Raw genomic sequence first — 13325 nt, 5'->3', positions numbered from 1 at the left:
GAGGGGTAGGCCAGGTGCAGTGGCTCACCCCTGTAATCCCAGCACTTTGGGAGGCCGAGGGGGCGGATCATGAGGTCAGGAGTTCGAGACCAACCTGGCCAACCTGGTGAAACCCCATCTCTACTAAAAATACAAAAATTAGCCAGGCGTGGTGGCGCACACCTGTAATCTCAGCTTACTCGGGAGGCTGAGGCAGGAGAATCGCTTGAACCCGGGAGGCGGAGGTTGCAGTGAGCTGAGATTGTGCCACTGCACTCTAGCCTGGGCAACAGAGCAAGACTCTGTCTTGCAAAAAAAAAAAAAAAAAAAAAACAGGAGGGGTGGTTTGATGGTGGACGACAAAGGGGAGAGAGACACCCAAGAGAGATACAGTGTGGCTCTGACTAAAGTGAATAGAGAATCCACTTTAACCAGCTAAATGGACGTGTTTGCATTTTGAAGGAAGAGCCCACTTATCCCTCAAGATCTCTAGTGGGCTAATTATTTCAGGAAGATGGGTCTTTTCATCATCTCTTCCTTACTGGAAAAGGACAGGGTTTGCAGGGGAAAATGGGAAGACTAGTATAGGACAGGTGAGGTTTGAAGTGTCCTGCTAGACAGGCTGGTGTCACTATCTCCACCCAGATGCCCCATGGGTACCTGGAACTCAGGGATGAATTCATCTTCCCTACAGGCTGGCTCCTCCTCCAAGATGTCCATTTCAGTTGGTGGCACCTCTATATCCTTTCACCCTACCTGTCTCTAAAGCTAGAAGAAACAACTCATCGTCATCCTTGACTCATCCCTGAACCCCAGCAATCACCCATGCTGTTCCTTACTCTGCTCTCTCCCTGTCACCTAGAGGACAAGCTAAAGATCAGAAACACGAGGCATTTAACTATCTTTAAATACAAAGCATTTAACTATCTTTCTAATTGCCATGGCTTCCTACTGCCTTCGGGAAATATCTCAAGGCAAGTAAAAGTATTTGAAATCCATTCTTCAAGTTGTCCCATGGAAATTTTTGAAATGTAGATGGCCCATTTCTTGTCAGATCTGATTAGATCATTACTTTTCCCTTAAAGTGGGGCTGCAGGGAAAGCTCTTGTCAAGAGGAAGGATAATTGTCCACTCTGTGTTTTCCTGCTGTTCACATGTGCCTGTATGATTAGCGGCTCATCTTCAGTCCTCGGTTTTGTTTCTTTCAGGCATTTTTTGAAATCACTGGGCTATTTTGCAAGGGCTAGTTTAGTTAGAATGAAGTAATATAATCAGTGAGTCTGTTTAACCAAGCACACATAAACATATGCTGAAATAAATCAAAACTGCTGAAAGAGAACAAACGAGTGAGGCATAGACTAAGCACCTCTCCCCACCCCATGTGGGGGATGTTTCCCTCATCCCTCAGAATGCCACACAACAGTGGGGCCCAAATCTGTCTGTGTATTAAATATTAGTAAAGCTTAATTTATCTCATTACAAAAAAGGAAACCTAAATAGAGGTTCTAAGAGTTCCATTTTTTGCACCCCACCAGTGGTGCCTAGTGGAGGCTGCTACCCTTTAAGTCATGGTGTCCCCCATGAGTCCCACAAGCTGCCTGCTTCCTGTGGCAGGTGGTGGAAATTTGGGAGACCTCAGGACTTCCCAGAAGCAGGGGTAAGCTCGGGGTATCTGTCTTCAAGGCAGGTGGCTCCTCTGGAGGGTTGGGAAGGGACCAGACCCAAGAAGTCTTCAAGAATATGCTGCAAAGTTAACCCTGAGTCTGAAAAATCCATTCCCTAACCCTTCTAAATCATCTAAGTTTTACCATGGGTGCCTTTTAAAGTGTTCCCAAATGCCTTTTGTAAGCCTCAGAAGTGCCACCCTCTCTCACGTATGAAAGGAATTGGACCAATAAAGGCACTTTTCATGAGCTTCTAAGCTTTGATCATTTCTCCATGGGAGAGGGGAGGATCAAGGTTTTTTTTTGTTTGTCTCTAACTCAAAGGCCCCACCATCCCTTAAGGCTTTCATTTCATTCTACCTCCTCCAGCTCCATGTTCTTTCTTTAGAATTCTAGGAATATACAAACAACAGTTTTATACAAGGGATGGAAAATGTTTTCTAGTTTGAATCCACTGGAGATGCAACAACTCAATGAGTCTCTCTGGAAGCCACAACTGTATTAGGTTCACATTTCAAAACACTACTTAAAGTTCCTTAATGGTCCTGCCCCCACAGCTACTTAGGGACATCCAAAACCTAAAGCAGAAGCAGTGTCTTCTTGAGGAAGCATTTTATCATTGTCAAGGATATCCCATCCTGCATACCACCACGCCTCACCCCTACAGCATACACCTTCCTCATCATTCACCCACAGAACAGAAAAGGAGACGGGAAGGGGTGGGGAGGCCATCACTCTCACCACTCGCTCCTGACCACTTATCAGTAGTGAAAGATGGAGCATGAGAGACGTGACAGGTTCAGTCAGCTTTTCTGGCTGCATAAACTGAGCAGAAGGATGGTTGCTCATCATGAAAGTTCAAGTTCAGGCCAGACGCTGTGGCTCAATGCCTGTAATTCCAGCACTTTGGGAGGCCGAGGCGGGTGGATCACGAGGTCAGGAGTTCGTAGACCAGCCTGGCCAACATGTTGAAACCCCGTCTCTACTAAAAATACAAAAATTAGCCAGGCATGGTGGTGTGTACCTGTAGTCCCAGCTACTCGGGAGGCGGAGGCAGGAGAATCGCTTGAATCCAGGAGGCAGAGGTTTCAGTGAGCTGAGACTGTGCCACTGCCCTCCAGCCTGGGCGACAAAGTGAGACTCTGTCTCAAAAAAAAAAAAAAAAGGAAAGAAAGTTCAAGTTCAAAGCAGTTTGTGAGCCTGCTCCGTCTTAAGGAGACTTGCTTGAAGTTCTTCCATTTTTTGTTTTTTTTTTTCCCCCTAACAATTAAGTGTAAGTGATTGAGTGCCAGAAACTTGGACTACCAGGAATCTCCCTCTGCCCAGGGCTCTTACCCCACCCCTTGGGCCTTTCCTCCCACCTTCCCTGTCTTTTGGGTCCCCTGCCTTGACAAATGATGCCCATTAAGCACTCCAGATTGTTTTCTTCTGGGAACCATCTTCACTCTTAACTTCTGCTTAACATTTTTAGCTAATTCTCTTCCCTGCCATTATCTCAAGCTATTTAGAGAAATGAAGTAATTCTGATGTGTACTGACTATTACAAATAATTTCCCATTTTATAATTTTGACACAGCTATCCACACTTACATTCAAGTTTTCCACACACTCCTTAGAGAAGTTTCCAAGTCCTGTGAAAAAGAGGGGAGAATAGCTGTCCCCTCACCCTGTCCACTCCCACATCCTAGAGTGATGCTCAGAGGCCCTTTTCTGGGCTGTAGCTGAGAGCTCAGAGCCTGTCATGTTTTATAACCATCATTTACTTTATTTTTCCCAAAATTTATTACCTTGTTCTTACCATGCTGAAGCTATTCTGCCCACTCACCCAGCTTGGTAAAGATCTTCCTGTTGTTTATCACCATTAGCTTGGCATTTCACCATCTGGGAGAGCTTAGTGTTTTCTAGAAACATGGAAACATCACTTGTACTCTGGCTGAACATCATTTATAAAAGCAGCAGCTCAGACTGACCCCAGCACTTTTCCATGCAGTGAAGTTCCCCCCTTAAATTATCTTTTGCTTTCTCTCTCCAAACTAGCTCACTGCCATTGTCACACCATTCTCCCAACATAGTCCTGGTGTGTTTCCTTTCTTGTAAATGATCGAAGGGTCCTTATTCTCAGAGACTTCATATTATCTTTGATTGAGCTCTTCTATCAATCTTGGTTTAAGGAAGCCCCCTGTCTTTCTACCAGGATGAATTTGCTATCGCTACATAATCACATTTTTATGTCTATTCTCAGAGATTCCGAAGTACTATAAACAATCCATTACCTTTCATGCCTGGAAAATGGGAACTTTTGTTCAAACATGGTTAAAAGAATTATCTCTGGCCAAAAGAGCTTTCCTAGGACTTGTATACAGAAGGAGAAGTTTTTACCAAGACCTATCCTCCATCTTTTAGTGTTTCCCCATTAATAAACACGGTCCACTAGTTAGGCCTGTTTCCCAAATATCCCAAGCACACTTGTGACCTTGACTCCCAAAGCTTAGCTCATGCTGTTTCTTTCAGCCTGCAGTATTCCTCCTTGGTGGGTCACCAATAGGCACCCTGTGCAGAAGGCTGAGGCAGAAGGATGGTTGAAAGCAAGGCCAAGATTTCCATGTGCAGAAAGTCTTGCAAATGGGACTGCTCCCTCAGTGCCCTCTCTCTCCCTTAAATCATTTGTAACATTATGTATGCATGTTGGAAACAATGGTATCTCCCCAGCTTCCCCGTTAAGCTCTGAGAGTTGTGAAAGTGTTCTGTTGACCAGTGTCTTGATTTTATTTCTCTCAATCCTATCCCAGTATTTCCTATAATGCATACCAGAGAATGTGATATATATATGTCATATACATATATATATATATTCATATGTATATGTATATGTCCAGTAAATTTGAGAAGTGGTGGACTAAACAAAACTATGCAGGTATCTTTACTGTAGGACTTCTCAAAGCCTTAATAAGCTACCTGGTATGGTGAACCATCAAAAGCAAACCATGATATATTGTCATCTACAAACTCATTTAACTGACCTCAAGACTTTCTTTCCTGGAGCATCTAACAGGACAAGTGCTCTATAGGATACATGTTGGAGGACACTGTTATAAATCATGGGTCCTACATTCATCATGTCAGAATCACTTAGGGAGCTTGTGACAATTTGGGGTAGAGTATGGAAATCTACTTGGTTGTTGTCTTTTCTTAAAGCCTTCCTGGTAATTTTGGTGGTCCATAACATTTGGGTTCCTCTACATGACACTTTTGATCTTTAAAGCTTCAGAGATGCTATCCCGGTGACCCTCCTGAGCCCTCACTGTAGAAGTTTGTACCCCAAATTACTTGCAGGTAAATAACAAATTCTTATACAAGATAGATGGCTGGAAGCTTATCAGGGAAACCACCCAGGGACTTTGTGACTTGGGGAAAAGTACTGGCCTATATCCATGACTTTAGAAACCACTTCCTAACGTCATAGCTGTCCCTACCTACATGCAAATCCACCTTCAGAGCCCATGGACTTTTCCCCAACTACTCTCACTCATGCCAGTGTGGGCTGTTTCACATGTTTCTGTATTTTGATTCATTGTCAATATCCAGCCTCCTTGCAGGATCATATTCAGAGCAAGACCCAATTGAATACTTTTCTCGGGATATCCTCATAGCACTTGCTACATAGCCACACTAAGAGTAAATGCTCAATAATTGCAGAGAAAACAAGGGACAAAGGGGACCTTGGTCTAAAAGGGACAAAAGGTTGGCTCTAGAATTAAAAAGCAGGTAGAACAGGTGGTAAATGTGGCAAGATGGGTAGGTACTCAGCTTCCCCTGCTGAGATAGGAGCTTCTTAAATGGTATAATCTTCCTCCACTCTTAAGTTGTATCTTCGTTACTTCTCGTTCTTCATATGATAAATATACATCGCTAGTAGTTCAGGAATAGATGACCAACTTGTCCCAATTTGTATGGAACATTTCCAGTTTTAGCAATGAAATTCCACTGCCTGGGAAAGCCCTCCTTGCTGGAAAACTGGGCATTTGGTCACTCAGGAGGCAAAAATAGTTCCCTAATCAAAGAAAATCAAGACTGCTACATCTCATTCTACCCACCTGAATACATTTCCTATTGCTGCTGTAACAAATTACCACAAATTCAGTGGCTTAAGACACCAATTTATCATTTTATATTTCTGGAGATCAGAAGTCCGAAATGGATTTTACAGAGCTAAAATCCAGGTGCTGGCAGGAGCTCCATTTTGTTTTTTTCCTGGAGGCTCCAGGGAACGATCCCCTCCCTGGCCATCTCCAGCTTCTACAGGACACATTCCTTTGTTCTGACTTCTCCATCCATCTTCAGAGCCAGCCACCATGTCACTCCAACCTCTGTTTTCATCATCACATCTCTTTCTCTAACTCACTCTCCCACTTCCCTCTTTCACTCTCAACTTAATCATGTCTACAAATTCCCTTTTGCCAAGTAAGGCAGCATATCCAGTGGTTCCAAGTATGAGAATGTGGATATCTCTGGGGGTCATTAGTCTGCCTACCACACCCACTTCTCTCTGGGAATTGATAGAACACCTTAATGTATTAAATAAATATTTTTAAAATCTCACAGAAAATAAGCTATTTCATTTTGCTTAATCAGTGTTTTTTAAATTTATGTAATCAAGAAATTCTTCTTTTCATCCCAAGGAACACTTAATATTTCATGGAAGGCTGCTGCTCTTGCAGAAAAGTAGGATTCAGAATGGTAGATGGGCAGACTGCAAGAGTCCAGAGACATTCCACAACATGTACAGAGTTTTGAGGGAACTCAGTTATAGATCCAAATTCCTCTTGACAACTTCAATACGTATTCTTTGTACATACTAATATACAAACTCATCTACCTAAGAAGAAACCTAAGGTCAAGGCATGGTGGATCTCCCTTTCTTCCACTGTTGTAGCCTCAACCTCCTGGGCTCAGGCAATCCTCCTATCTTAGCCTCCTGAGTAGCTGAGACCACAGGTGCATGCCTGGCTAATTTTTCACTGTATTTTATTTTATTTTATTTTATTTTATTTTTATTGAGACAGAGTCTCACTCTGTCACACAGGCTGGAGTGCAGTGGCATGATCACAGCTCACTGCAGCCTCAACCTCCTGGGCTCAAGCCATCCTCCCACCTCAGCTTCTCAAGTAGCTGAGACTACAGGTGCATGGCACCACACCCAGCTAATTTTTGTATTTTTCCTAGAGACAGGGTTTTGCCATGTTGCCCAGGATGGTCTCAAACTCCTAGGCTCAAGCTATCTACCTAGCTCAGCCTCCCAAAATGCTGGGATTACAGGGTGTGGTGGCCAAGAAAAAAATTTTAATTGGACATTTTGCCCTGGGGGTACAAAACCTCCTGGCAAACAAAGAGTTGATGTGAAATTCACATTGCCAATGATGATTCTTTTGGTAAGACACCATACCTCACCCCTGCCCCTCTTATTTAGAGGTGCATTTCCAATAAAACTTCATTTCTTATGTTTAGTAAGTAGTTATCAAAATTTTGATATTTTATATTATACCTAAAATAATTAAAATGATAACTCGCTCCAAAGGAAAATTTTTAATTTTTGCCTAGAGATTTATGGTCCCTGGAATCTTCTCTTCATTTAAATTTAAATTCATATGCATCCTTTGGTTGTAGAGAATTATGATGGATTGATAAATATTTTCAAGCAAAGCACATACATGAAGTTAAAGTGCTGTGGGTGAAGTAGAATAGAGATACAATTTCAAGGAGAAAAAAATGTAACATTTCCAATTTTTAAAGAAGACCTTGTTCATGTCATTTTTAAAGTGTACAATAATGGGTATTATATAACAACGGTACTTACGTTACATTGGACACATTTAAAAGAATGATTTAACAGGCTAATTTGAAAATGTCACTATTTACATTATCTAGAAATTATATCTTTCCTAACTATTTAATCTTAACATGCAAAATACTTGCTGACAAGTTTTAAAATATTCAAGGAGGTACACAGTTTTTAAAATTTCTTATATGGGCTGGGCACAGTGTACATTCCTGTAGTCCCAGCTACTTGGGGCTGAGACAGGAGGATTGCTTGAGCCCTGGAGTTCAAGGCCAGCTTTGAGGCCACCATAGTGAGACCCCCATCTCAAAAAACAAAATAAAATAAATGTTGATAAATTGAATTAATTATTATTTTTTTGAGACAGTCTTGCTCTTTTGATCAGGCCAGAGTGAAGTGGCACGATCTCAGCTCACTGCAACCTCTGCCTCCCCAGTTCAAGCAATTCTCGTGTTTCAGACTCCCAAGTAGCTGGGCCTACAGATGCATGCCATCATGCCTGGCTAATTTTTGTATTTTTAATAGAGATGGGGTTTAGCCATGTTGGCCAGGGTGGTCTCAAACTCCTGACCTCAACTGATCCACCCGCCTCAGCCTCCCAAAATGCTGGGATTACAGGCATGAGCCACAGCACCCAGCCAATTAATTATTTTTAAAATAAATCTTATGGGGATATGTGAGCTCTGACAACTGGTCCAGAGCAGAATAGAGGAAATGCTGGCAGTACAAACAGCAGGGTATGGAATCAGGCCAGCAGGAAAGCCTCGGGAAAATGCCCACTTAACCCAGCCCAAAGGGTTAAACAGCGCCTGACACAGAACCAGCACTCCCTTCGCTCAGCCGACACCTGCTGTGTGTGGCCAGTGTGCCAGGCATTGGGGGTAATCAGGCTTAGACACAAGTCCCTGCCCTCAGGCACCAACCTGCCACTGGATGCATATGTAGTTGACCTGCTGCTTCTGTGTAAATGCATGTTGGCTGCATTTCTAGAGAGTCTAAAGACTTATTCTTGGGCAGTTTTTAGAAGCTGTGACTACAAAGCCATGACTCATTTTTTTATATTCTAGAATGGATCCATCTACATTCCACTATTCCTATTAGAATAGTCACCTGAGGAGGCATATACTTATTTCAGTGACAGGACGATTACTCAAAAGTCTTTAAGCTTCATCTGTGGAATTGACTTCAAAGCATACAGTGCAATCTTCTGAATATGCTTAGTGCTTGTAAATATTTGCTTTTGGAGAACAACTTTGATTTTGCAGAGAACAAAAGCTATTCACACAAAGCTCTAGTGATCATGGTAGATGATGAGACTGGGCAGGAATATCATTTGCCTCAAACTCTGGAATAGCATCAGTCAGGAAGTCAGAGCTTTCTCATAGTAAAGAAGAGTCAGGAGAGATTGTTCATTCCTTTTATGTTCTGCACAATGAGTGTTTATTCCTCTTAGCACTGAGGCAGAAGGGAAAAGCCTGGCCATGTCAGGGTCACTTGGGTGTGAAGTTGCTTAAAGATTCTATGGTCTCAGACTTTGGAAGAGAGCTTGCTGGGACTGTGGAAGGCCCCTGGTGCTCGCTGCTTTAGTTCTGCTGACCCAGAAGGAGCAGAGAGGGAGGGACCAGACAAGGACAACAGAAGCCAGGGCATGTGGCCGTCGCTCTGTCTGCTCTGCCTATCCAGTCACTCCTGTGTGGACACAAAGCACTGGACAAAAGCTCTTGGGATTCTCCAGGACCCTCAATTCTCAAAAGGAATATTGGTTTTTCTTAGTATCAGTTTGGTGTACACTGTATTTTACTACTTTCTTATTCTTCTGCATTTCTCTTGTATTTTACTCAACAGCACCATTCCCTATGCTCAGAACGAGCTAGGTGCTGTGGGAGACATTGCCTCTGTCCTTGGGCAATTTGAATCTCCTTGGGAAGATAAGAACAATATACATACATACTGTAGAGTGAGGATAGCCAGTGGGTTTCATTTCAGATGTCAGCTCCAGCTAATTGGTGGCCTTGTAGAGTATTTCATCAAATCAAAACACCATCAATTGTAAGATGCCATTTTATGTGTTCTTAAGAAAAAAATACGCTATAAATTATGAACCATTTCTTTCTTATTAGTTAGAATTTTTATTTATACTTATTGAAAGAGGCTTTTTAGACTTCTTTGCATATAATATTGTGGATTTTTTTAAACATATATTGCTCTCATTCATTCATAAAGTAGAAAATAACAGCAAAATAAATTGGGTCTGGTTTTCCTAAGCTGCTTCACCTTCAGAGTACTACTCATCTCTAGCATCTTTGATTTGGAGTTACTGATGTCTGTGTTCCCACAGTACAACTCTCTATGCCATCAAGAGTATTCAGGAGGCAACATTTCTTACAAAAATTTCTCTTGACTTTCTCCCAAATCTCTGACAACTTTTGTGTAAATTGATGTGCACACAGGTAATAACAACCACAGCACAACAGCTACCTGGCAACAGTAACTGAAAGACCCATCCAATTTTCAATATTTCAAAAGCAAAAGAATACCTCTTAGACCCAATGATATGTGGGTTCTGAGACTCAGTCAAAATGACTGTCATGATCAACTATCCATGTCTGCCCTGGGAATGGGGTTGACAATGGGGCTACATTCGTGCCATTAAGCAATAATTTGCTCCTGTATAGTTTGCAAAGCTGAATGGTTTCCAGCGTGACAGCAGTGGTAGAGTGTTCTCTGTGAGCTAGTAGAATCAGGAAGGCTTTATGAATGAAGTAGGTTTAAAAAGGTAAGATTTGGCCTGGATAAGAGGAGATGACCTCCAGCAGAGGAAGGAGCATAAGCACAGTTTAGAGGATTAAAAAGGGTAAACAAAGCATATCATGTGGAGAGGAAAGTGGGGGAACCAGGCTGGGGTGGGGTTTAGTTAGGGAGCGAGGGAATATAAAGACATGAGTTTTTGCTCTAAGAACATAAGTTCAAGTTAGTGTGTTTTACTTGTGGAAAAGTAACAGACAGTTCTTATATTTCTAAAACTTTTATATATATTTTTTTTACCATAGGTCCTGATGTTTTTAGTTCAAAGAGTCTTGCGCTTCAAGCCCAGAAGAAGATTCTGAGCAAAATAGCCAGCAAAACTGTGGCCAACATGTTGATTGATGACACCAGCAGCGAGATCTTTGATGAGCTCTACAAAGTCACCAAAGAGCACACACACAACAAGAAGGAAGCCCACAAGATCATGAAAGACTTAATCAAGGTGGCGATCAAAATCGGGATCCTCTACCGGAACAACCAGTTTAGCCAAGAGGAGCTGGTTATTGTGGAGAAGTTCCGGAAGAAGCTGAACCAGACCGCCATGACCATTGTCAGCTTCTATGAGGTGGAATACACCTTCGATAGGAACGTGCTCTCCAATCTCCTGCATGAGTGCAAGGACCTGGTGCATGAACTGGTGCAGCGGCACCTGACGCCCAGGACCCACGGGCGCATCAACCACGTCTTTAACCACTTTGCCGATGTGGAGTTCCTCTCCACCCTCTATAGTCTGGATGGAGACTGTAGGCCCAACCTCAAGAGGATTTGTGAAGGAATCAATAAGTTGCTAGATGAGAAAGTCCTTTAAATGCCTTCCCTCCTACTGGACTTTGCTGCTTTAAAGTTACAGCACTCAACCATGATCTGGGTGAGAATCAAGAACATAAGCAGAAACCCTTGTCAAAGATGTCCATGTTCTTTCCTGTTCATCCCTCTGATGCTGATTCTGATGCTGAACTGAGCTCAGGTGTGTTTTTCTTCCAAGCTTTCTAGCAAGGTTTCTACTTAAAATCACCTGTGTGCAAGCCCAAAGGACATTTCATCTATTCTAAGCAGAAAGGCTGTTTTGTTCATTACAGTGAGTGCTGTTCATCTCATGGAGTGGGAGGAGCACTAAACCAGGAGACAGAGGACATGGATTTGGTTTCCAGCTTAACCAGTTAGGACTCTGTCCTCTGCATTCTGGAACCATGATGCCTGCCTGCCTGCCTCACAGGGCTGTTGTGAGGACCAGATGAGATGATGTATGTTCATACTTTTGGAATCTCTAATTTAAAGTCTTAATATTTTGTCTTCTGAGTGTGAGGGGATAAACCTGGATGTAGACTATTAAGCAGCATAGGAGAAAAGAACAATAGAATCTAATGGACTGGGTTTGCAATCTCTCTCTAAATGCACTGCTTCAGACAAAGTGAAATCCAAAGGTGTGAAAAAGTATAGCTGCAAATTGGAAAAATGTGTTTCAAGAGTCGTCTTTTTGGCCAGGCATGGTGGCTCACACCTGTAATCCCAGCACTTTGGGAGGCCGAGGTGGGCAGATTGCCTGAGGTCCGGAGTTCAAGATCAGCCTGGCCAACATGATGAAACCCTATCTCTACTAAAATTACAAAAATTAGCCAGGCGTGGTGGTACACGCCTGTAATCCCAGCTACTCAGGAGGCTGAGGCAGGAGAATTGTTTGAACCTGGGAGATGGAGGCTGCAGTGAGCTGAGATCACGCCACTGTACTCCAGCCTGGGCAACAGAGCAAGACTCTGTCTCTAAAAAATAATAATAATAATAATAATTTTTTTAAAAAGAGGTGTTTTTGAGGTCTTAGATGTTCAGGTTGATGATCCTGCAGAGGGAAACTTTCCATGGGGGGGTGGGGAGAGAGAGTTTTCCATCCACAATATAGAAACAGAGAAGCACTGTGCTCCCTCTGCAGGACCAGCCTTCCCTTATCTAAGGGGCATGGAGCTCAGGGAGGCTTTATTCCATATGCACGGGAGAATCAGGCAGAATGAACCCCTACCCATCTTTCTTGGCTTTTCAGTCATTTTGTGCTGTTTTCTCTGGTTCATTAATAAATTGAAACTGCCCTCCAAACAAGAGATCTTAGAGTTGTGATTCAAAATAAAATTCCTTGGAGTTAAATACAGTGTTAAGAATAACAGGATTGAAAAGAAGAAGAAAATGAAGAGCAAGAGTTCTGCACTCGAACCCCAAGAGGAGGTAGATTCAGGGGAGCACAAGTGGGTGGATCTGTGAGATGGTCAGTGGGGAGCTAGTCCACAGACACAAACCACCTTCTCCAAATGTCACAGCCTTGCTTTCACAGTGCAGCTTCTGACATCTTTTCATCATAGTCTTAACCAACGTCAGCAACAATGTACTTCCTTTCAACACTGTGCCACATTAAGAGACTTGCTCCTCTTGCCTTTCCTTCCATCCTCCTCTGCTTCTCTTCTAATGATAATATAAAAATACCATACTAGCACAGCCCTATGGTTCATCCCACCCCACAGTCTATCTCCAGCAGGAGCATCAAGAGATGGTTTGTGGGGAGGTGTGAAACAATGTCCACTGAGCCTCGCTGGCCATTCAGCCTCAGCTGGCTCTCATGTCAACATCATAGCAAACCATCTAGTTACGTTCTTCAGCCACGCAGCCAGAATTAGTTCATAGGAAGGCTATTCAGTATGGAATATGGAGGAGTAAGGCCAACCCCTGTTCTCCATATTGGACAAACATGGCCTAGCCCTCTACTCAAACCCAAGGGCTGAACAATGATGCCCTGTGCACACCTGGGCTGGGGAGATGGCTGGTCATTTGGCACTGCTGGTGGGAACTACAGGCAGTTGGCTCCCCTTCCTTCCCACCTGCCTGCAAGGCACCAGTCCAGCAGTGCTGGATTTTCTCATGCTGTCTTCAAGGTTTGCCTTGATGTATTTATCTGACAAAAGACTGTTTTCTTGTTCAAAAGATGGTTCTAGAAGTAGGTTCACTGTTCATTAAGTGGACCATTACAGAGAACTCGGACCCAAGAGGAATGAGTGAAC

General features: G+C 43.0%; 1 protein-coding gene and 1 long non-coding RNA gene across 3 annotated transcripts in view; one reads left to right on the top strand and one right to left on the bottom strand.

Annotated features, from left to right (window-relative positions):
* TNFAIP8L3 (TNF alpha induced protein 8 like 3) overlaps positions 1 to 12372 on the top strand; it is a 48676-nt gene extending 36304 nt beyond the window's left edge. For both annotated transcript variants that reach the window (NM_207381.4, NM_001311175.2), the window contains one exon: positions 10530 to 12372. In NM_207381.4, coding sequence (NP_997264.2) covers positions 10530 to 11092 — 563 coding nt within the window. In that variant the 3' untranslated portion in view covers positions 11093 to 12372. The remainder of the gene's footprint in view (positions 1 to 10529) is intronic.
* MIR4713HG (MIR4713 host gene) overlaps positions 1 to 13325 on the bottom strand; it is a 256425-nt gene that overhangs the window by 224940 nt on the left and 18160 nt on the right. The window lies entirely within an intron of this gene.

This window comes from Homo sapiens, chromosome 15 (genome assembly GCF_000001405.40).
Source record: "Homo sapiens chromosome 15, GRCh38.p14 Primary Assembly".
Taxonomy (NCBI): Eukaryota; Metazoa; Chordata; class Mammalia; order Primates; family Hominidae; genus Homo; species Homo sapiens.
This window is presented reverse-complemented; position numbering and strand designations above follow the sequence as displayed.